Raw genomic sequence first — 25,607 nt, 5'->3', positions numbered from 1 at the left:
GAAAGAGAGAAAGCAAGCTAAGATCCCCCGTGGGAATGCATATGGAGTCAGTTCATGTGTAGAGAGCTACATAGTCCCATCATCTCATTGGGACACCACGAAGTAGTGCGACCAAGAAAACAGCTGTCTTCCCTTTGTGTGATGAAAACATCACACAAAAGTGACACAGGGCCCTTGGAAGGTTAAGGTTGTATCACTAGGGACACCAGAAGGCAGTGACTGGCAACAGTAAATAATGGCTCACGATTAATGGTTGGAAACCTACTGATAAGACCATTGGATACCAAAACATCAGAGGAATGTTGGCTCCAGTTGGTTTAATCCTGCAGACCATTATAATCTGAGCACATTGTAAGGCTTATTTGCACTGTTTCTCTTATCTCTTTTTCTTGAAGATTTAAATTAAATTTATATCCTTAGCTTAACAGCTCAATTTCTTTTTTAAATTTTTTGCTCAGTCAAGAAGTATATATTAAGTAATAACTATAATACTAAACTAAGTGTGGTGAGGAACACAAAGAAATACATCTTATTATATAGTTCTCAAGGAACTTAGAGTTGAGTTGGTAGGGTCAGAGAAACAAGAAGCAATGATTAGTATGCGGTTAGATTAGTCAGGGAAGGCTATGGAAAGGCAACTAATGAATCCTGTTCACTGACTCATTTCATTTATCCATTTGCTGTGAAACACTTCCTGAATTCCAAAGAGTGGCAAGTGATTATGCTGGTGAGGAATGCCCATTCTTACCAGAACTTCGCTAAGGTAACAGAACCTCACTAACTATGTGGAAACCACCTAATCCACCCTTTGCATGTGGGTCGGTAGTTTTTCTTTTTCTGTATTTAAAAAATTTCCATTTCCACAGACTTAAAGGTAGTTGTGGAATGTGGCTTTCCTTTTCAGCAAATCCAATGCCAGCATTGTTCTCTCGGGCCAGCATTTATCAAGTTTTGATATTTTAGTTTAGTGGTGACCATTATATTTATTTTCATAGTGAGAAATCTAAGTCATTTTGGGCACTGGTTCAAGGTTACACGATGAAGGTTACATCATGGACTCTTTCCCTGAACTCACTAACAAACTGGAACTATAATTCATGAGCAGTGGTTCAGCCAGGAGGTGAGATGGGGCCAATGTCACACCATGACTGTTGAGAGGACTTACCTAACAGATGGCAACCTTTTGACAATGACTGTATTTCCTAATTTCTAGAAATGGAATTCTAGGCAACTTACTTTTCTTTTCTTGCTTGAAATATTATACTGAGTGATCAAGAGCACTGGGATTGTCAGGGTCACCAGTGTCCTCCATTGATAAATCCAGAGGTCAGTCTCAGGCCTCATCTTAGTTGAATTCTCTGAACAGTTGCTCTACTTGATCAATCTGTTTCCTCTAAAGCCCTTTCTTTACTTGACCTCTGGGTCATCACACTCACTTGGCTTTCCTCCTGCCTCACTGGCTGTTCTTGTTTTCCTTTACTGGTTCTTCTTTATCTTCTCAATCACCTAACATTGAAGGCCAAACCAAGTTCCTCATCCTTTCTTCAAATCTGTTTGTGATCCACCTCAAGAAATGGCAACTCTTGCTTCCAGATGTTCTGGCTAAAACACTTAGAGTCATCTTTGACTCCTCTTTTTCTCTTACACACCACATCCCATCTGTCAGGAAATTTTGTTGGTGCTTCCTTTGAAATATATCTGGAATATGTCCCCTCTTATTACCTCCACTGCTTCTACCCTGGCCAGACCACCATGATTCCTTCCAGGATGATTGCAATAGCTGTATCCCTGCTTCTTCCCTTGTACTTCTAAAGTCTACCCATAACACGGATCCTTTAAACTTATGTCATCTCATGTCACTTCTCTGCACAAAACTCTCCAATAGTCCCCATCTCACTCAGGGTAAGAGACGAAAGTCTTTACAATGACTTCCAAGGCCTTCCATGACCTGGCCCCTATAACTTCTCTGATTTGATCTCCTTCTATGAAATGAGATACCCACTTTTCCTACACCCAGGAGTTCCTATAGGAGAGGAAGGAACATTCCTTTGACACATTTGTTCAACAGGTGTTTTCTGAGCAGCTCTTCTGTCCCAGGCACTGTGCTGAGGTTGTGCAGTGAACAAGATCACTCTGCCCTGACTCACGGTGCTTGCAGCAAATAATGGGGGCGTCTCAACAGTGATGAGGCAAGTCCTGGTTTCTAGTTATGTTATTTCTCTTAGGGAGGGGATGAGCAAGGTTTGGAGAAAGAAGGGAGGTTTCCCCAGTCATGTCATAGAGGAATGGGGTTAAGTTTTAAGGTTTCAACCTCTAATCTGGAGCCTTCTGAAACTTATAGAGCCTTCTGTGTTCTAAGATCCCAAGAACATAGGAGCAGAAACACTTTTCCAAATTGGCTTAAACACTCTCTCTTCCAGGATTTCTCTGTGACTCTGATTAAGAGAGAAAAAGAAGAAAGAGGAGGAAGAAGAGGAAGAGAAAAGTAGGGTAAAGGAAAGGCATTAACCCCCTACCCCGAATTCCAGTCCCCTAATCCAATGTGTTCAGGACATTTTAGCAAAGTTTTCCTAAATACTTTAAATTCATTGTCAGTGGGACTAAATCTAAGACAATTTTGCCGTGGGGACACTTGGCTCACTGTAGAGATATAACGGATCTAGCTCTGAAGGGACTTCACCAGTTTGCTGAGCATAAAAAACTAATTATGGGGCCTGATTAAGAAAAGTAGACATGTATGGCTTATTAACATAAAGTGGAGACTAATAATTGCTGATATGTGACTGATTCTGTGTTAGGTGCTTAACATGTCATGTTATTCCTTTCTCCCACCCTCTCTCCCTCCCTTCCCACATGATTATTGAGTGGTCTGGCACATGTCACTGAAGATACATTGCTGCCAACCCTTGTCCTCAAAGAGTGTGCTCTCAATTGGAAGAGACTGGCAGGTCCATGGGCAAGCCCAGTACGATGACATCCATGTGCTTATGATAGGGAGAGTACAAGGTATCGTGGCAGGACATAAGAGGGACCCCTATTCAGCCTTGTGGGCACAAAGGCTCTGGAGGGGTGATATCTAAATTTGGACCTGAAGCATGAGTAGCAATTAGTCAGATAAGAGGAGAGGAGACAGCAGGAAAAAAGCCAATTTCAGGCAGAGAGAACAACCTCTGCAAAGAACCGAAGATAAGAGCAAGTCAAGAAAGTCCGACGTGGCTAAAGGGAACTAAAGTGCCAGGAGCTGTGGAGACTAAAGATAGGAGGTAGAGTGGTAAGAAAGGAACTGACAAGAGCTTGGCAAGCCAGGGTAAGAAATACCCTGAGGGCACTGGGAAGCCATTTAAGCTGGGGAGAGGACCAAGCCCACTCGCTCTTGCCAAAGATCTTTCTGGAGGGAGTGTGGAGAATAGGCTGGGAGGAGAAGCCAAGGTGAGAGGCAAAGAGACTGCTGCGATGATCTAGGAGGAAATGATGGCACCTGATCTAGGGATGGAGACAGCTAGAAAATTTGAAAGAGTTGCAATCAAAAGGATTTGGCGATTTATTTGAGGTGAGAGTGGTGTTGGAGAAGAAGATATTAGGGAGATGCCTAAGTTTTCTGGCGATGCATGTGGCACCTTAGCTGAGTAGAAAACAGATCTGTGAGGCTGGAGGAAGCAAAGATGATTCTGGTTTTGGACATTTGATTGGAAGAGCCTGAGAATCATGGGAGAGAGTCTATGGATCCAGAGCTCAGGAGAGAAATGTGAGCAGAGAGAAAAATACCTAGAAGTTGTTGGCATAAGGGTGGCGATTAAATTGTGAGATTTATTTTTACAACAATCCTTAAGGCAGATATTACTACCCTTGTTTCCTGAGAAGGAAGCTGGGGTTTGGGAACCATAAGTAACTTGCTCAAAATCAGTCAGGGAGCAGGAGAGCGAAGGCTTTTAATCTGTGCATTTCTACTCTGCAACACTGCTTCTGTGTAAATGCATTTTGGATTTGGCCGTATTGCTTGTATGGAGTAGTTTTCTACCTCTAAGAATTCTGGAAAGCATTCCCTTTTTTTTTTCTTTCTTTCTTTCTTTTTTTTTTTTTTTTTTTTTTACAGGAACTCACATGAAGAAATGTCACTGTTTATAGCTTGAACATTCCTTTTCGGGGGCAAAGACAAAATACATCAACTTTTTAATGGAATTTCTTTTTGCCTGGACAGAATGATGCTTGGTCCTGGAAAGTATTATAAATGTCCTTCCAAGTGAGGCCTGCAGTGATGGCAAGCCTGGGTGTCATACTGACAACTTGCCCCCTTGTGTGTCCCCTCACGCTAGACATCTCACAGGAGTGTTGGCAGAAGCAGACAGCCCATCTCCCTCACTGATAGAGGCTGCCTCCAGGCCTGCTGGCTCCCTGTTCAGCTACCCCTCCTTCTGGGACACCCGCTGATGTCACTTGTCTCCTCTCTACGGGGATTTCCACTTTTTGCCCCACCTGACCCACAAATTCTACCTCCTTTCCTAGTCCACGTAGTGCCATAGTTGAAGGCTTTTCTAGTTTCCCATTCAGAGGGAAGCTGGATGTTTATTGCAGTGACCTCATCCCTCTTGGCGTCCTCCTCCCACCCCCACCCCCCCCCCAGGAACTGCCATTTTCATTTGCATGGCCTCAGGGGTCTTCCACTGTGGCGGACCTGCTTCGTAGCTGACACGAAGGCTCAAGCTCTAACCTCTCACACTTTCTCATATAACAGCTCATCTGCTTGTGGAATACATTTGTTTGTGATTACAGGCCGCATACAATACCACTGCACAGGGCCCATGTGATGGCCCGGCGCCATGAGAAAACACATTAGTAATTTTTTATGACCCTAGTGCAACCATGCAGGATTTCCCTAAAACAGAAAACATGAAGGGATTTTATTGTCTTGCACTATTTAGACATCCCTTATGGCTGATGCGTGTATATTGGAACTAACAGAACACAGGACTTCCCAGACATTTTGAGTTGAGAGGTTTCTGACTTCAGTTAGTGAACACCCCCGGTTTATCTACTCTGGGGGAAGTAAAACGCACAAGGAAATTAAAAACGAAAGGCATCAAGGTCTAGAATATTTTTCTCGGTATAACTAACTTCTGTTCTTAGATGAGTTACTCTTAACAAGTTACTTCTGAGAGTAATGTGAGATGATAAACACTGGAAGAGACTGACCGGTGAATCCCCAGGAATTCTCACTGCTCCTTTTGAAAAACTGTCCATTAGACAAGAGAGGATCTGGCATTCCTATGTTTTCTCTCTTTGTGTCTCTCTCTCTGTCACACACACACTCACACTCACACACATACACACACACACCATCCCGTGGTGATGTCCAAGAAGAAGATAGTAGGCCTTCATTGGGTCTACTTACATGGCCTTAAGAATAAGCATATATAATTCCTACGAGAAACTATTCCATTTTTGGCACTGTTGCTGGTGTTAAACGTCCACCCAGGAGTTTTTTTGACAAACTAGCAGGAGAGAACTCGAGCGATTCTAGCCCTCTCAGAGGAACTACATTGGAATGTTTTACTGCCTATCTATGAAGGACAAACTGACTCTGAATCTGGCTGCTCTGGGAGTGTGTTCCCGAGTGTCCAGGGAATGAATATAAGTCAGCCAAGAGTATGAGAAGGCAGCAGACACCATGGAGAGACAACTTGCCCTAGAAAACAGACCATAGGAAAGGCCTTAGGAAAAATGATGCTGCCTTTTGAATAGATAGCGCTAGTAGTTGGCATGACGGTGCCAACTATTCAAATCACATATAAATTCGGCTGCCTTTTTAAGCTGTATATCAGCCTTCAAAAATATGCATTCCATTCAGTGACAAAGGGTGAGAACCTGGCTGAGCACTTTTGTTTTAAGAGCCATGGGAAAAACATGGGAGACAAAGCAGAATAATAAAGGACAATAATATTTGGTTTTCACGTACAACTATGCTACGGTTATAGTAACAAATTTGCCAAGGTTCAAACAGATTTAACCTCCCTTTAAAAACTAATCTGTTGGTGAGATACTGTGGCAGGAAAAGCTGTTCATGTCATCTTATTCCTAACAGAATGGAAAAGACCGGTTTATATGGTTTTTGCTCCTCCCCCTCACCTGTAGCCTCCACTGGGATTGGGTGTGATTATTGTCTCTTGCTCACAGCTCACAGGGAACATAGGGTGGGCTCACCCTCAAATGTAAAATGATATTGATATGCAACATCAAATGTACCCTTGAAATGAAAGACTGATTTGTGTATTTCCTTTTTAATATTCCGACTCATACATGTTGCCATTTCTACTCACTAGTTACCCTGGAGACTATGTTCTGAATGCTATTATATAAACATTGAAAGATATCTTTATTTAACCAATCAAACATTGGAAGGAAGCACTAGCTCAGTCAATCCTGCCAAGCCATCACAAGGAGATCCTGCTGTAAGAAGGAACTGGGTCGATCTCAGGGGCTAACCCAAGGTTAGGCTTCAGGCTATCTGTGAATTTGCATCTCCTCCTTGGAGAAAGGATCTTGTACTTTTTGGATTCACTGCACTGGGGAGTGAAGTGAATCGCTAAACCTCAAGGGCACATCCAGAGACTAACTAATTAATCCCAGCATTAAGGGAAGACCTGTCCACATTCCGTACACTGGTGAGGCTCATTATATGGTGTATGTAGATGCAATTCATGAACTGGGATATGAAGTCGTGGCAACTTAATCTTGACAGTGTTGTAATGAATAAAGCATGTCCAAAGCTTGGTAGGTTAGGTGATACCTCTGCAAAGCATCACCATGAACCTACCAATGGAAGCACGTTTTAATTGTGTTTGGCTTCTTGTATCTCAGCTTTAGATCATGTAACCTGTGGAGAGCATCCATTGGTTGACATGTTTTGCTGAGTTATTTTGTAGTTTATGAGATGTGGAAGAAAGAAACTCGGCTCCCAGCTATTACCTAAGATTCACAGGGCTTTGCTCAATTTGCAAATGTTCTTTCTGTGGTTGACTTCATTAGCTTCTCTCCACCCCAGTTTTGGCTATTCTTAGAAGGGGAATTAAATCATTGAAATCCAAGCTTCTCAGGTTTCCCTGCCCCCAGGGAGAGTAGATTTAGAGTGTTCATAAGAAAATCAACTCACCCCTAATCAACTGGCTCAAAGAGACTCAAAGTGTTCCCCGCCCCCCGCCTTTGACAATCCTTCCAATAAAACTTCTTCACTTCTTCTGTCTTTAGGTGGGGAGCTCTCTCAGAAAGTTCACACAGTGAGTGTGGTTTGTGCATTCAATATTAAGATCTAATCATTGTCTCTTGAGGGCTGAAGAATGAAAACACTGGATAAGAGCCCACCTCCTGGCTTCACGCTTGTCAGGACCAGGATCTATTAACCTTTTAAAGAAATACTGATAATAAAAAGCAGACAAAGAGAGCCATGTGAATTGGCATCTAATCAATAATGTTCTGAGTTTTTTCCCCCTTAGGTTACTCAGAGCCGCGTGAGCAAACAAGATTTTACTGTTCCAAGCCCTGCTGTCTTGTGCATAATGCATAACTCTCTTGCACGCTCCCATTCTCTTCTGAGACATTTTATTATTATTATCATCATAGAAGAGGTCAGATTCCCTTTAATTAAAGGATATACAAGTCAGAAACTCCCCACCTCACTTTCCCCAAAATTAAAGAATTGCAAGGCTGGGTTTCCCTCCCATTGCCTCCTGGCTGGGCAGGACCCCAGTGGTAGGAGGTTGGGAGGATGTGGTACAAGGATGTGGTGTGAGGACCTGGTGCTGGGACCCGTGCCACCACGCCCAGGCAGCTGCTTTCTTTTTCTGCATTAGTTCCTCATGTTATTTGACCTAGAAACTTTGGATGTGGACTGCATCACATTTTTGGAATGATACATTTTACTCATTAAACCTTTTGCCCTATAGTTGATTTATTTCTCCTGGGCTAAAATTGGACTCATCCTGAAACAGGCGTCTTTGGCACAGCAGAAACTTCAGCACTAGCGAGTCTCCTCATAACTGGTGTCATGGGATGTTCTGGTTTACCCTTAGTTTACTTCCCCTGTCTGCCATCTCATCCACCCCTCCAGCCCTTCTCTCCTGCTCTCTCCAAATTCGGTCCCCACCCTTGACCCCTACTACATATATCACCGAAAGAAGAAATGCATAGATGACTCTTCCTGAGCAAAGTCGATTCCTTATTTCAGCATGGGTGTGCCTGATTTCCTAGGTGCATGCCAGGCAGCCCAAGAGTGGCATTGGTTTTGACCTGTCATCCTTAATCTCCACCGATGGGGTGTTTTGAAGCACTGCCTAGCCAAGTTCACCTTGGTGGACCCTTTAGGGGAGCACTATGATGCCAAAAGAAATCACACAACATGAGGAAGAGGCAAATGAAAGGTAAATGGTAGTTTACAAGGACTTCTATTTTTCCATTAAAAACACAAAAAATCTATGTTCCAAGCTAGGACTTGAAATAGGTGTGGTCAGTGCCATTGGCCAGTCTCTGCGATAAATTCTCCTCTTAAGAAAAAAAGAGTAGGAGATTATTTAAAGCACCCACTTACTCTCACTAAGTTCAGATCCTCTCAAAATTAGACCAAGAAAAATCCATTTCTATATCAAGCATGCCTTCCAGAATGAACTTAAATGTACACAACTTTCCAGGCCCGATCTGAAATCCTGTTTGAATTCCAGCCAGGCCTTGACCCCAGGGGATGTGAGGAACAGGAGTGGCGAAACCAGTTATTGTCTATTTCGTTAGATGCTGGAGTTGAATTTGGGAGCATGATTAATGCTAGCTCCTTCTTCCCCTCCCTCCAGCCAAACGCTCAAATCACCCAGGCTTCTTGCAGGATAAACATGTCTGCTAGTTTGTTCCCAGGAATTCTCCTATAGTTTTCCTTGTAATATATTAATCTGCCCCTTTCATCGCCTTTCCCCCAACTTAACTGGCACCTTGCCCCTCCACTCTTTACCTGTTTGAACCTGGATTTGAAGGCTTGGATCCTCTTGGGAGTCTGTGCACATTTGTCAAAGCTTAGTCAAGGTCCCCCCAAGCCAGAATGGAGTTTGCTTTTCCTGTGTTTATGCTCTATTCCCAGGACCTCGCTTGTCTGTTTCTGGTGCTCAATCATTATTCCTGTGGAAGAAAGTAATTTTTAATAGTTTCAATAACTATTTAAAGAACCTGAACGAATATCCACATTTTAAAAGAACCCAGGCCTAATGTGTCCTCTTTCCCCAACCACTTCCCACAGTCACCCAACGTTTAGGGAGAGCCTTTGATGAGGCAGCAGCTTGGCTGTGTCTTCACTACACGATTCTATTCAATCTCACCACCAGCCTTTATGCAGGACTCTGCACATGGCAGGCTCTCGATAAATGGGCTCTGGTTAAGTGGACTACCTTATGGAACAGAGTTATCAGTATCAGCTGAACCTTTTTATTTTATTTGTTGAGACATGGTCTCACTGTATCACCCAGCCTGGGTTGCAGTGGCACAATCATGGCTCACTGCACCCTCAACTTCCTGGGCTCAAGCGATCCTCCCACATTAGCCTCCCAAATAGCTGGGACCACAGGTGCACACCACCACACTCAGCTATTTAAAATAAATTTTTTGTAGAGGCAGGTTCTCACTTTGTTGTCCAGGCTGGTCTCGAACTCCTGGGCTCAAGAGATCCTCCTGCCTTGGCCTCCCAAAGTGCTGGGATTACAGGTGTGAGCCACCACACTGAGCCAGCCTAACTTTAAAACGGAGAATAATGGAGCTCCAGCGTAATTAAGTGACTTAACCAACATACTGTGATCTGACTGATTTCGCCCTCTGTCCATCCCTTGTTTTCTTTGTCATATCCATGGCCCTTAAAGCCACTGTCCCACTGGTACCATAAAGAGGATTGTCTAACATCGCTCATTGCTTCAGAAATGCATGGTGCTATTTATGGAGACAGCATGGGTGACTGACCAGCGTGGTATTTTTCTTCTTGGCCTTTGGAATGTAGCCTACAGCATTTGCTCCAGAAAACCTCACACAGATTTGTGTTTGCAGAAAAGGGTCCAAAGACTTAATTATTTTTTGGGAGTGCTAGTATTTGTCCTTTGCTAACCAGGTCATCCTTCAGACAGAAAAAAATGCTGTGTATGACCCAGCCAAGGCCGCTGCTCAATGGAGTTGACGGCAGGCCAGAAACTCAAGGCCCTGCCCACAGGCCTGAGCATGTCCAGAGAGTGAAGTGCCAGAGGGCAGCTCTCTGTGTGCACCCCTGCATGCCTGTCTGTCTCCAAAGCCTTTGTTCAAGCCTGAAGGAGACTCTGAAAGCAATGCCCACTTGACCCTTCTTGATGGGTGTTTGCATTGAGCTGAATGAGAAAAAGGCAACCAGCCTCTTCAGACAGAAACAAGCAAAGCACCGTCCAACAGGCAGCACCATGGCCTGGGCATGTCCATGACTTGCAACGTCTCAAAATGTGCGTTTCCATTATTATCAGTGGAAGCTGCCACATCGGTCCCTCCTGGAAAGGGTATGTAGAAGTGTCATTAAGTAAAAACTTTAGAATTTCAACATTTGGTCTTTCTGCCTTCCCAACAACTGTTTTACAGATATGTTCACGTGACTAAGATTCTTGCTCAAAATCCCCGAGCATTTGAGAGTAAATTACCAAGGGCCCAAGTGGTGGGCCCTCTCATCTTCAACAGTGTGTTCTTGGGGGTCTTTGATTGGCCATAGGAGGGGTTTAATCTATGAGTCCATCGGAGCTGCTGGCTGTGATGACCCTAAAGGGAGAAGGGAACTCAGAGTCTGGAGGGGAAGGTGCAGCATTCACTCTATAAATACTTATTATATCTTCATGGTATGCAGAGCAGTGTGCTAGGTAGAGAAGGACTTGTAAGCAGGCCCCCTCCAAGCTCTCTAGATCAATTGACACCTACCAAGGAATCTCTGTTCCGGAAGATGCAACAATTCCAAATGTGGATGTCAGCAGCCCCTAGGGTACCCAGATAGTATTTATGTCAGCAAAACTACATTTAGAGTGACAATAATAATCTGAACTGGTGAGTCCTCTCATGAAATCAAGACTGATTTTATCCTTTCTTACATGTAGAAATTCCCAATGTGTGTTTTTTTTCTAAAAAAATTTTCAGCTTGTTTTAAAGCACACACAGCTACCATTTGTAGAGTTGTTGATAGATCAAATGGGAGAATGCACTTAAAGGACTTTCCTTTAAAAGGCAAAAAGGACTGTGTTTGTCCTCAGTAAATGTTAGCTGCTATGATCACCCTTGTCACGTCATTGTAGTTGTCATCATTGTTGTGTGTATTGCTCAATACTTTTTTTGCTTGCCTTTGAACAAGAGAAAAATCAATGAGATCTGAGAGGTCTGGAGTTAAAAATTTCCTCTTTATATTTTGACTTACACTTTTTGAGGTGTAAAGTGAAGATGAGTTTGCCTCAATTATTTATTTATTTTTTGAGACACAGTCTCGCTCTGTCGCCCAGGCTGGAGTGCAGTGGCGCCATCTTGGCTCACTGCAAGCTCCATCTCCCGGGTTCACACCATTCTCCTGCCTCAGCCTCCCGAGTAGCTGGTACTACAGGCGCCCGCCACCATGCCCAGCTAATTTTTTGTATTTTTAGTAGAGATGGGGTTTCACCATAGCCAGGATGGTCTCAATCTCCTGACCTCATGATCCACCCACCTTGGCCTCCCAAAGTGCTGGGATTACAGGTGTGAGCCACCACACCCAGCCGAGTTTGCCTCCATTTTTAAACTGCTGGCCCTTGTGTGAGCAACAATGGACATCCCATTTTAATGGGATTATCCTGCAATTTAGTACCTTTGTCAAGGAACCTGAAAAATTCAAAGAGCCTGTGTACATGCTTCATATCTTATTGACACTAAACCTTGGAAGTGGAGAAGAGAAGGGACTCAGCATTTACTAAAAGTATAGCATGTTCTAGGTATTTCTTATAGGCTATGGGATGAATTCCCAAGATTCATATGTTGTGTCCCTTCCCAAAATTCCTATGTTGAAGTCCTAATGCCTAGTACCTCAGAATGTGACTTTATTTGGAGATAGGGTCTTTAAAGAGGTAATTAAGGTAAAATGAAGTCGTATGGGTGGGTCTGAATCCAAATATGCTTGGTTTCCCTATATGAAGAGAAGATTAGGACACACATACACGCAGAGAGGAGACCATAAGAAAACACAGGGAGAAGGCGGCTGTCTACAAGCCAAGGAGAGAGGCCTCAGAAGAAACCAATCCTGCCAACACTTTGATCTCAGATTCCAGCCTCCAGAACCATGAGAAAAGGGAATTTTGTTTTTTAAGCCACCCAGTCTGTGGTACTTTGTTATGGCAGCAGTAGCAAACTAATACAACATATATTAACTCATTGAATCCTTTGTACAAACCAATGCATTACTACCACCAATTTGTAGGTAAGAAAATTAGTGATTTGAGATATAAGGAACTTGTCCATGGCCTCACAGGTGGTCAACTAGCTTGGCCAGGCTTTGAATCCAGTTCTTCTTGAGAATATCTGACTTAAAAAATATTAACATTTATTATTTATTATTCCTATTGACTTCCAGAAGATAATATCTAATTCAGGTAAGCACCCCACCAAGATGACTAAAGACATGCAGATCCACATAGGTGCTTCAGGTAAAACAGGAGAAAAACACATTGGCTCTTTATAGAAAAAGTGGAACCCAAGTCCCACAAATATTGCTTGAACTCAGCATAATGTTGCCTTTACCTTCCATAAGCCATGGATTTTTATAGAAGCCTTCAAGAAATGGAGCTTATGATGTCAAAAGCACATGGATTGTAGGCAGAATAAGAGGCTTTTTTAAAAAATTATGTTTTGTAAGTGTTGTGTTATGATACATGGACACCCACTCTAAAACCAAAAATGTTTTTCCAAACAAGATCCTAAAAGTGTTTGCCCCAGTTAGTCTAAGATAGCCCTTATGGCAATGCCAAAGATTAAAGTTTGTGCTCACAGTTGTTTTAAACCAAGATATTACTCTCTGGCTTTTCAATCATATTTTTATTCCTTTTGTGCATCTCATCAAAGCATTTCGATTAGAACAAGTCATTGAGAAGGCAGAAGCCAAAATAAACAGTCGAGTTTAAATTACTACAGTGAAGGGACCACAGTTGCACTCAGGCCCAAGTTATGGGGACTTTTAATGATTCTACGAGGTTCTAGTATTTATGGAATTGGCTTGCACATATATTTTTTTTCTTCCTGATTTATTTCTGAGTTCTAAAGCCATCCATGAATTTTAATCCTAGTCTATCTTGTCAAATTTTTTTTCTGATAGGGTTCTCAGAGGTTCCAGTCAGCTGAGGGTTTACTTTTCCTTGGAGCTTATTAACTCCCATCACTTGGCCTGAACCAATAACCTCTGTCCAGCAGCCTGGCCACGTCACCCATGTTTGCTACATGTGAACCAGGGGTGCTTGCCAGCTCCACTGCTTCTATCCCTGCTTTAAGAAGTAAACAAGAAAAGATGTCATCAATTGGAAATAAAGCTAGGGTACAAATTCACTCCCAGATGTTAATATTTGCTGGTGTCTTTCTGGACTGGTCAGGAGACGCTGTGACGTGATTAGAAACACACTTTTTGAAGATGAACAGAGTTGGCTTAAATCCCTACTGCCACCTTCAAGTCATGTGACTTTGAGTACATTACTTGATCAACCCAGGCCTTGGTTTCCTCATTTGTTAAGTAAAGATAACAACCACCTGGCAGTTTTGTTGCAAAGAGTAAATGAAATAACACAGGTGACGTGTGTAGGCTAGCATCTGATGCAAGGTAGATGCATAAAACGAAGACCGTGCATACATGGTTGATGACTTCACTAATGTAACTTCCAGTGCTTTTTGTGTGGTTGAGATTCCATTTTCAACAGGACAAAGTCTGCTTGCAGAGGAGAAATACCACGGCAGCTTGATGTGCAATTGGGACTTAACCTCATACAAGACCCAAGAGTCCCCACGGAGGGCATTCTCCATGTGTTTCAACTTGGTGCATCATTCACCAAGCATGTTCCCTCCGGAAAAGCAGGAGACCGCCCAAGGTTTGGATGAGTTCAGGGAAGCATCTGAACTTTTTGGGAGCTATCCCATCAAAACTAGAGTTGTCTGGGTTTTGACCGCTGGGGCCAATATTATTTTCTGTCTGGGCTTTTAAAAAAGATCAGAACATTGGGTTAGTATTCCCTGTTCTCTATGTCATTAGAAGCTCTTCAGCATGAAGATTCCACTAATTTCAACCAGAATCGAGTGGATAAAAGAGATGAGTAACGTGAGAAAATGAAATGAGGAGATTGGCACTCAGTGGGGGAAGTTAGGGACTCCAAGGAGAAAAATAAAAGCTGTCTTCATCAACTGGCCCAAGACAGTGGGGGGAGTTTATTAAATGTGATTCTTTCCAGCACTCTATTCTAAATCTCTCCTACATTACATAAATCAGAGTCAGAAATATTTGGGTTTGAATTCTATTTCTGACATCTATCAGATGGGGTGACTTCTTACAAACTCCAACAGCCTCAGTTTCCTCATTGGTAAAATAGAAATATTAGTAAATATCATGTAGGATCATTCATTCATTCATTCATCAACAATATTTGTAAAGCACTTGGTCTGGCATATAGCAAGCATCCAATAAAAAGTGGCCCCCCTTCACCTTAAATTTTCTGTGGAATCTTATAATCCATATACTTAGATTTTAAGGATTTCATATTTATACTCCAACTTTTTTTCATTTTGCTTAGGAATATATTCTCACCTTTATGAAAAACACACTTGACCTTTTAGAAACCACATAGAAAAAATTTAAATAAGAGAATGTGTTCTTTTAAAATCAAACCAATATTATCGATCCTCACTAAGGTGTAAAGCTCAATCTATGGAATGCTTCTCTATTCACTTGAATGAATATTCATGACAAATACAACTTAGCTACACCCAAATGTGTATCCAATGCCGCTATGCCATAAAATAGCTTGACAGTTAGGCACCAGGTCAGAATTGTGGTCAGTGACCCGGTGCCCATGGACCCAGCACACTCCCCCTACCCCCAGCTCCATGAGGGGTTCCAGAAACTTCCACTCATGCTGGACTTTCTTCCAGTGCCATGAAGGCCAGCAGAGTGAAGGCAGCCATTTTGCCTTCATAGAGTGTAGGCCTTTGCAGGGCTTTTAATACTTCCCCCAAATAGTATTGTTTGTCTCACAAACTTAAATAACTTATTTGGGAGTAGTGTCCTTTTGTTTCTCCCCCATTTTGATCTTTGGTCCCTTTTTCTTTCAGCTTCCTGGGTATCCTCCTGACTTATCTAGGACTGAATCTTGCAGTACTCTGAAGAAAACTGTGATGTGAAATACCACACATTGCTTTCATTAATATGTCACATTAAATCGAAAATCTCAAATCCAAATCAAAAGTTGGATCTCTTAACGTTGTTCATACTTTAGGAAAGTCTGAGGGCTGGGAATAATCTTTCTCATGGGCCAAACACACATACACACACAGACACACACACACACAGACACACATGCACACACTGCAGATTCTAATGGTTCCCAACACTTCTTTTTTACCTCCTCACCATCATGTATGTAACGTATTCCCATCAGTGACATTTCTCCTCAAGGGCAGTGATTCTGGGTGATTCTGGCCAACTTGTAGCTTGAAAAAGTCCCTCTTCCTGCCCCACAGTCTTGAGAATCACATTTCTAATCTCATCAAGAGAATTGGATTCCTCCCGCCTGCTCTGATGGCTTTATTGAGGAAAGCTTGCCCACACTGTCACGCTTTGAAGGAAACAAAATCAACACCTTAAACTGTTTTGGAGATAAAGGGCCCTTTTGGAATTCCTTCAGGGCTTGCCCAGATAGCTCCACTGACAGCCTCTCTGCAGTCGCCATGTGTCCGCCATAGTGACTTGTTGCTCGGCCTGCCACGCCTCCTGCTGGGGCCAGAAAACTTCTGGCCCCTCCTTCTTGCACAGGAACAGAGAGAAGGATCGCCAGACAAAGGCTTAGGTTTTCCTTATAAAAACACAATGACCTGCTAAGAGATTGTGTAGTGGGCCCAGAATAAAAACAAACAAAATAAAACAAAACAGAAATTTTTCCCCATATTTATAATATCAAGAGTTCAAATTTCCTGACAGCAAATAAGTCAAGGAGACTTACAGGGGAAAACAAAATAAAGCATATCTCCTTGGGAAGAGTTCTCAGAATGTTTCACTTCCTAGAGTTGCCTGAACTGTGACCTGTGAGAATGCACCAAATGAGGCTGTCATTCAAGGCCCCTCCAATCCCTCTCATCTTTTCCATCAAAGAACAAGACTGACACAAGAGAAAAAAAGATGGCCAGCCCGGTGGTTCATGCCTGTAACCCCAGCACTTTGGGAGGCCGAGGAGGGCAGATCGCTTGAGCTCAGGAGTTCGAGACCAGCCTGGGCAACATGGGGAAACCCAATCTCTACAAAAAATACGAAAATTAGCCAGGCGTGGTTGTGCATGCCTATAGTCCCAGCTACTCGGTGTGGGGGCAGGGGGTGCTGAGGTGGGAGGATCACTTGCACCTGGGGAGGTTGAGGCTATAATGAGCAGAGATCCAGTCACTGCAGACTGTGTCTCAAAAAAAAAAAAAAAAAAAAAAGAAGAAAAACAGAAAAAAGAAAGATTGGCACCACTTGCCATGTCAGGAAAGAGGGTAAAAGAGCAGAAAAAAGAAGGAAAGAGATTAACGGACATAATATGCAGGGACTGACACCGAAATGCCATTTTCCTGGAAGGGAAGCCTCTCTCTGCCTGGTTGTGTGTGTGGGATGTGGAACTTTCAGCTACTGAGTCCTGGGGCTGGCATCAAAACCTGCCCTTTGAGCTGGTGATGCATTCCTGCCAATAGCCTTGCTTAAACTAGTTATGCCTTTTATTTAAGTTGGAAGAAAAGGGTATCTTTCTTTTTTTTTTGTTTTCTTTTGTTTTTTTTTTATTATTATTTTTTATTATACTTTTAAGTTTTAGGGTACATGTGCACATTGTGCAGGTTAGTTACATATGTATACATGTGCCATGCTGGTGCGCTGCACCCACTAACTCGTCATCTAGCATTAGGTATATCTCCCGATGCTATCCCTCCCCCCTCCTACCACCCCACAACAGTCCCCAGAGTGTGATATTCCCCTTCCTGTGTCCATGTGATCTCATTGTTCAGTTCCCACCTATGAGTGAGAATATGCGGTGTTTGGTTTTTTGTTCTTGGGATAGTTTACTGAGAATAATGATTTCCAATTTCATCCATGTCCCTACAAAGGACATGAACTCATCCTTTTTTATGGCTGCATAGTATTCCATGGTGTATATGTGCCACATTTTCTTAATCCAGTCTATCATTGTTGGACATTTGGGTTGGTTCCAAGTCTTTGCTATTGTGAATAATGCCGCAATAAACATACGGGTGCATGTGTCTTTATAGCAGCATGATTTATAGTCCTTTGGGTATATACCTAGTAATGGGATGGCTGGGTCAAATGGTATTTCCAGTTCTAGATCCCTGAGGAATCGCCACACTGACTTCCACAATGGTTGAACTAGTTTACAGTCCCACCAACAGTGTAAAAGTGTTCCTATTTCTCCACATCCTCTCCAGCACCTGTTGTTTCCTGAGTTTTTAATGGTTGCCATTCTAACGGGTGTGAGATGGTATCTCATTGTGGTTTTGATTTGCATTTCTCTAATGGCCAGTGATGATGAGTATTTTTTCATGTGTTTTTTGGCTGCATAAATGTCTTCTTTTGAGAAGTGTCTGTTCATGTCCTTCGCCCACTTTTTGATGGGGTTGTTTGTTTTTTTCTTGTAAATTTGTTGGAGTTCATTGTAGATTCTGGATATTAGCCCTTTGTCAAATGAGTAGGTTGCGAAAATTTTCTCCCATTTTGTAGGTTGCCTGTTCACTCTGATGGTGGTTTCTTTTGCTGTGCAGAAGCTCTTGAGTTTAATTAGATCCCATTTGTCAATTTTGTCTTTTGTTGCCATTGCTTTTGGTGTTTTAGACATGAAGTCCTTGCCCATGCCTATGTCCTGAATGGTAATGCCTAGGTCTTCTTCTAGGGTTTTTATGGTTTTAGGTCTAACGTTTAAGTCTTTAATCCATCTTGAATTGATTTTTGTATAAGGTGTAAGGAAGGGATCCAGTTGCAGCTTTCTACATATGGCTAGCCAGTTTTCCCAGCACCATTTATTAAATAGGGAATCCTTTCCCCATTGCTTGTTTTTCCCAGGTTTGTCAAAGATCAGATAGTTGTAGATATGCGGTGTTATTTCTGAGGGCTCTGTTCTGTTCCATTGGTCTATATATCTGTTTTGGTACCAGTACCATGCTGTTTTGGTTACTGTAGCCTTGTAGTATAGTTCGAAGTTAGGTAGTGTGATGCCTCCAGCTTTGTTCTTTTGACTTAGGATTGACTTGGCGATGCGGGCTCTTTTTTGGTTCCATATGAACTTTAAAGTAGTTTTTTCCAATTCTGTGAAGAAAGCCATTGGTAGCTTGATGGGGATGGCATTGAATCTGTAAATTACCTTGGGCAGTATGGCCATTTTCACGATATTGATTCTTCCTACCCATGAGCATGGCATGTTCTTCCATTTGTTTGTATCCTCTTTTATTTCCTTGAGCAGTGGTTTGTAGTTCTCCTTGAAGAGGTCCTTCACATCCCTTGTAAGTTGGATTCCTAGGTATTTTATTCTCTTTGAAGCAATTGTGAATGGGAGTTCACTCATGATTTGGCTCTCTGTTTGTCTGTTGTTGGTGTATAAGAATGCTTGTGATTTTTGTACATTGATTTTGTATCCTGAGACTTTGCTGAAGTTGCTTATCAGCTTAAGGAGATTTTGGGCTGAGACAATGGGGTTTTCTAGATATACAATCATGTCGTCTGCAAACAGGGACAATTTGACTTCCTCTTTTCCTAATTGAATACCCTTTATTTCCTTCTCCTGCCTAATTGCCCTGGCCAGAACTTCCAACACTATGTTGAATAGGAGTGGTGAGAGAGGGCATCCCTGTCTTGTGCCAGTTTTCAAAGGGAATGCTTCCAGTTTTTGCCCATTCAGTATGATATTGGCTGTGGGTTTGTCATAGATAGCTCTTATTATTTTGAGATACGTCCCATCAATACCTAATTTATTGAGAGTTTTTAGCATGAAGGGTTGTTGAATTTTGTCAAAGGCTTTTTCTGCATCTATTGAGATAATCATGTGGTTTTTGTCTCTGGCTCTGTTTATATGTTGGATTACATTTATTGATTTGTGTATATTGAACCAGCCTTGCATCCCAGGGATGAAGCCCACTTGATCATGGTGGATAAGCTTTTTGATGTGCTGCTGGATTCGGTTTGCCAGTATTTTATTGAGGATTTTTGCATCAATGTTCATCAAGGATATTGGTCTAAAATTCTCTTTTTTTGTTGTGTCTCTGCCTGGCTTTGGTATCAGAATGATGCTGGCCTCATAAAATGAGTTAGGGAGGATTCCCTCTTTTTCTATTGATTGGAATAGTTTCAGAAGGAATGGTACCAGTTCCTCCTTGTACCGCTGGTAGAATTCGGCTGTGAATCCATCTGGTCCTGGACTCTTTTTGATTGCTAAGCTATTGATTATTGCCACAATTTCAGCTCCTGTTATTGGTCTATTCAGAGATTTAACTTCTTCCTGGTTTAGTCTTGGGAGAGTGTATGTGTCCAGGAATTTATCCATTTCTTCTAGATTTTCTAGTTTATTTGCGTAGAGGTGTTTGTAGTATTCCCTGATGGTAGTTTGTATTTCTGTGGGATCGATGGTGATATCCCCTTTATCATTTTTTATTGCATCTATTTGATTCTTCTCTCTTTTTTTCTTTATTAGTCTTGCTAGTGGTCTATCAATTTTGTTGATCCTTTCAAAAAACCAGCTCCTGGATTCATTAATTTTTTGAAGGGTTTTTTGTGTCTCTATTTCCTTCAGTTCTGCTCTGATTTTAGTTATTTCTTGCCTTCTGCTAGCTTTTGAATGTGTTTGCTCTTGCTTTTCTAGTTCTTTCAATTGTGATGTTAGGGTGTCAATTTTGGATCTTTCCTGCTTTCTCTTGTGGGCACTTAGTGCTATAAATTTCCCTCTACACACTGCTTTGAATGCGTCCCAGAGATTCTGGTATGTTGTGTCTTTGTTCTCGTTGGTTTCAAAGAACATCTTTATTTCTGCCTTCATTTCGTTATGTACCCAGTAGTCATTCAGGAGCAGGTTGTTCAGTTTCCATGTAGTTGAGCGGTTTTGAGTGAGATTCTTAATCCTGAGTTCTAGTTTGATTGCACTGTGGTCTGAGAGATAGTTTGCTATAATTTCTGTTCTTTTACATTTGCTGAGGAGAGCTTTACTTCCCAGTATGTGGTCAATTTTGGAATAGGTGTGGTGTGGTGCTGAAAAAAATGTATATTCTGTTGATTTGGGGTGGAGAGTTCTGTAGATGTCTATTAGGTCTGCTTGGTGCAGAGCTGAGTTCAATTCCTGGGTATCCTTGTTGACTTTCTGTCTCGTTGATCTGTCTAATGTTGACAGTGGGGTGTTAAAGTCTCCCATTATTAATGTTTGGGAGTCTAAGTCTCTTTGTAGGTCACTCAGGACTTGCTTTATGAATCTTGGTGCTCCTGTATTGGGTGCATATATATTTAGGATAGTTAGCTCTTCTTGTTGAATTGATCCCTTTACCATTATGTAATGGCCTTCTTTGTCTCTTTTGATCTTTGTTGGTTTAAAGTCTGTTTCATCAGAGACTAGGATTGCAACCCCTGCCTTTTTTTGTTTTCCATTGGCTTGGTAGATCTTCCTCCATCCTTTTATTTTGAGCCTATGTGTGTCTCTGCACGTGAGATGGGTTTCCTGAATATAGCACACTGATGGGTCTTGACTCTTTATCCAATTTGCCAGTCTGTGTCTTTTAATTGGAGCATTTAGTCCATTTACATTTAAAGTTAATATTGTTATGTGTGAATTTGATCCTGTCATTATGATGTTAGCTGGTTATTTTGCTCGTTAGTTGATGGAGTTTCTTCCTAGTCTCGATGGTCTTTACATTTTGGCATAATTTTGCAGCAGCTGGTACCGGTTGTTCCTTTCCATGTTTCGTGCTTCCTTCAGGAGCTCTTGTAAGGCAGGTCTGGTGGTGACAAAATCTCTCAGCATTTGCTTGTCTGTAAAGTATTTTATTTCTCCTTCGCTTATGAAGCTTAGTTTGGCTGGATATGAAATTCTGGGTTGAAAATTCTTTTCTTTAAGAGTGTTGAATATTGGCCCCCACTCTCTTCTGGCTTGTAGGGTTTCTGCCGAGAGATTCGCTGTTAGTCTCATGGGCTTCCCTTTGAGGGTAACCCGACCTTTCTCTCTGGCTGCCCTTAACATTTTTTCCTTCATTTCAACTTTGGTGAATCTGACAATTATGTGTCTCGGAGTTGCTCTTCTCGAGGAGTATCTTTGTGGCGTTCTCTGTATTTCCTGAATCTGAACGTTGGCCTGCCTTGCTAGATTGGGGAAGTTCTCCTGGATAATATCCTGCAGAGTGTTTTCCAACTTGGTTCCATTCTCCGCATCACTTTCAGGTACACCAATCAGACGTAGATTTGGTCTTTTCACATAGTCCCATATTTCTTGGAGGCTTTGCTCATTTCTTTTTATTCTTTTTTCTCTAGACTTCCCTTCTCGCTTCATTTCATTCATTTCATCTTCCATCGCTGATACCCTTTCTTCCAGTTGATCGCATCGGCTCCTGAGGCTTCTGCATTCTTCACGTAGTTCTCGAGCCTTGGTTTTCAGCTCCATCAGCGCCTTTAAGCACTTCTCTGTATTGGTTATTCTAGTTATACATTCTTCTAAATTTTTTTCAAAGTTTTCAACTTCTTTGCCTTTGGTTTGAATGTCCTCCCGTAGCTCAGAGTAATTTGATCGTCTGAAGCCTTCTTCTCTCAGCTCGTCAAAGTCATTCTCCATCCAGCTTTGTTCCGTTGCTGGTGAGGAACTGCGTTCCTTTGGAGGAGGAGAGGCGCTCTGCTTTTTAGAGTTTCAAGTTTTTCTGTTCTGTTTTTTCCCCATCTTTGTGGTTTTTATTTACTTTTGGTCTTTGATGATGGTGATGTACAGATGGGTTTTTGGTGTGGATGTCCTTTCTGTTTGTTAGTTTTCCTTCTAACAGAGAGGACCCTCAGCTGCAGGTCTGTTGGAGTACCCTGCTGTGTGAGGTGTCAGTGTGCCCCTGCTGGGGGGTGCCTCCCAGTTAGGCTGCTCGGGGGTCAGGGGTCAGGGACCCACTTAAGGAGGCAGTCTGCCCCTTCTCAGATCTCCAGCTGCGTGCTGGGAGAACCACTGCTCTCTTCAAAGCTGTCAGACAGGGACATTTAAGTCTGCAGAGGTTACTGCTGTCTTTTTGTTTGTCTGTGTCCTGCCCCCAGAGGTGGAGCCTACAGAGGCAGGCAGGCCTCCTTGAGCTGTGGTGGGCTCCACCCAGTTGGAGCTTCCCGGCTGCTTTATTTACCTAATCAAGCCTGGGCAATGGCGGGTGCCCCTCCCCCAGCCTCGCTGCCGCCTTGCAGTTTGATCTCAGACTGCTCTGCTAGCAATCAGCGAGACTCCGTGGGCGTAGGACCCTCCGAGCCAGGTGCGGGATATAATCTCACAGTGCGCCGTTTTTTAAGCCCGTCGGAAAAGCGCGGTATTCGGGTGGGAGTGACCCGATTTTCCAGGTGCCGTCCGTCACCCCTTTCTTTGACTCAGAAAGGGAACTCCCTGACCCCTTGCGCTTCCCAGGTGAGGCAATGCCTCGCCCTGCTTCGGCTTGCGCACGGTGCGCGCACCCACTGACCTGCGCCCACTGTCTGGCACTCCCTAGTGAGATGAACCGGGTACCTCAGATGCAAATGCAGAAATCACCCGTCTTCTTTGTCGCTCACGCTGGGAGCTGTAGACCGGAGCTGTTCCTACTCGGCCATCTTGGCTCCTCCCCCCGAAAAGAGTATCTTTCAACCAAGAAGATGGCTTTGGCTGCCTGCGTGGACCTGTGCTTCTCTCTCTGGGCACTGCCTGTTTCTAGAAGGTGTTTCCTCTCAGTCCAGAGTTATAGGTACAATAGCATGCAAGAGAGGCAGATAGTTAAGAAAAAAAAAAAAAAGAAAGAAAGAAAATCACATACTATCTAATTACAAACTGTGGTCAATGCTATGCCATTTTCTGTGAACAAATGTTATTAATATTATGGTAAAGGCCAGTCTCATCCAAATATCAAATTTATGTTTTAAGTCTTCACAGGTAGGAATAATGGCCACTGACACCTAGTTTCTTTTTCTTTCTTCTTCTTTCTTTTTTTTTTTTTTTTTGAGACAGAGTCTTACTCTGTCACCCAGTCTGGTGCGATCACGGCTCACTGCAACCTCTGCCTCCCGGGGTCAAGTGATTCTCCTGCCTCAGCCTCCGGAGTAGCTGGGATTACAGGCGCACCACCACACCCAGCTAATTTTTGTATTTTTAGTAGAGATGGGGTTTCACCATGTTGGTCAGGCTGGTCTTGAATCCCTGACCTCGTGATCCTCCCACCTCGGCCTCCCAAAGTACTGGGATTAAAGGCGTGAGCCACCCCACTGAGCCCCTAGTTTCTTATTATAGCTAAATTCTATTTTTGTGGCATGAGTTTGATACTAAGGTTGAAATTCCATAAAAACAGAAAGTGGTGATCAGGCCTAAGAAAATACTGCAGCGGCTGGAAAAGTTCAAGGATGAGTCAGGGTCCACCATGGAACCGGTCTCTTTGTCCAGAGGAAAGGAAATCTCCACCTGTCATGAAATGCAGGGAGGAGGTGGGTAGAGTAGAAATAGTGAGACAGGGACATTTGACTAAGTGTCTGGGCACCCTGTTAGATTCAAATTTGGGGGAAAGAATACCACTCATTTGACAATATTGCTAATCAGAAATTCACTACTGTTCAGTGGAATTGTACACACCTAAAGAAGAGTTAAGCTGCTACAGGTGACGGGTTTATAAGAGGTCCCCAGGGGCAGGGGTTGGGCCCATTTGAAGCAGGCGTATGGCAGCAGTTATTTGCCTTGCATAGAAAGAATGTTCTGTTAAATGTGATGTGAATATATCATGTTTCTCTTAGAGCGGGCTGTGAATTGCAGATGTCATCTAACTAATTCTCACAGCATCCCTGGAAAGCAGGACATGAATGGGAAATGGTTTCATTCATCTGTGTCTGGCAACATTTATGAATTATTAACAGGAGAATGTGAATTTCCCTGGGGGGAAAAAAAACTACCCTGCAAAGGTAGGGGAATTGAAAGGAAGAATTAGCAGATGTTAGAAAAGGGTGGAGTAGTAAATAATGATGTGAAATTCAAATTTGAAGAAAGAAGATTTTGAGAGAACCTGACAGCGGACCGGTCTTATTGGGGGTGAAGCAGAAATCTCAGATGCTTTGATGTGGAGACAGAGGAAGAGGATGGGCAATTAATTCTATACGACAATTCTTACACAGTTAGGCATTGTTTACACAGAAAAGTTGCAGTCCCCTGAGACTGGTTGAAGACTCATCTTAAGTCCTGTTTTTTTGTTGTTGTTGTTGTTGTTTTTGAGACAAAGTCTCCTCTGTCACCCAGGCCAGAGTGCAGTGGTGCAATCACTGCTCACTGCAGCCTCAACCTCCTGGCCACAAGTTTTCCTCTCATCTCAACCTCCTGAGTAGCCAGGACTATAGATATGTATCACCATGCCCAGCTAATTTTTTAAATTTTTTGTAGAGACAGGGTCTCACTATGTTGTCCAGGCTGGTCTCAAACTCCTGGGCTCAAGCAATCTACCCACCTTGGCCTCCCAAAGCTCTGGGATTACAAGTGTGAGCCACTGCCCCTGGCCAAGTTCTGTTTTTAATAGAAACACCTCCCTATTTATTAAAACAATGGCTACCATGTAGTAGGTACTCATGAAGCACCAGACAGACTTACTGCATGTAGTCTTTTCAACAACTCGATGACACCTCATTAATTATTCTTGTCTAACAATGAGGGCCTCATTGCCGAATGGCTTTTTTTCGGGGGGACATGGTCTCCCTCTGTTGCCCAGGCTGGAGTGCAATGGCCCGATTTTGGCTCACTGCAACCTCTGTGTCCTGGACTCCAGCGATCCTCCCACCTCAGCCTCCTGAGTACTGGGATTACAAGTGTGTGCCACCACACCCGCCTAATTTTTTGTATTTTAGTAGAGACGGGGTTTCACCGTGTTGGTCAGGCTGGTCTCAAACTCCTGACCTCAAATGATCCACCCGCCTCGGCCTTCCAAAGTGCTGGGATTACGGGTGTCAGCCACCGCGCAAGGCCCTGAATGGCTTTCTGAAATTAAAGGGGTGGTAAAAGTCAGGGCCAGACATCAGACCCACTCCTGCCTGCTGGCAAAGCCTCTGCTTGTGCCCGCGCATCACACGGTCTTCTCTCAGGGCAGTGGGGTCGTAGCAAGAGGGAAACAATGGTCACATTTCTAAGGGGTGAATA

The 25,607-nt window shown here is 43.0% G+C and overlaps 1 long non-coding RNA gene across 1 annotated transcript in view; it reads right to left on the bottom strand.

Annotated features, from left to right (window-relative positions):
- The window catches only part of LOC124904265 (uncharacterized), a 56,143-nt gene that overhangs the window by 30,392 nt on the left and 144 nt on the right, over window positions 1-25,607 (bottom strand). Inside the window, exon 2 of the long non-coding RNA XR_007066310.1 lies at window positions 8,990-9,153. This is a non-coding gene — a long non-coding RNA (uncharacterized LOC124904265). The remainder of the gene's footprint in view (window positions 1-8,989; window positions 9,154-25,607) is intronic.

The sequence above is a fragment of the Homo sapiens genome, chromosome 18 (assembly GCF_000001405.40).
Source record: "Homo sapiens chromosome 18, GRCh38.p14 Primary Assembly".
Taxonomy (NCBI): domain Eukaryota; kingdom Metazoa; phylum Chordata; class Mammalia; order Primates; family Hominidae; genus Homo; species Homo sapiens.
This window is presented reverse-complemented; position numbering and strand designations above follow the sequence as displayed.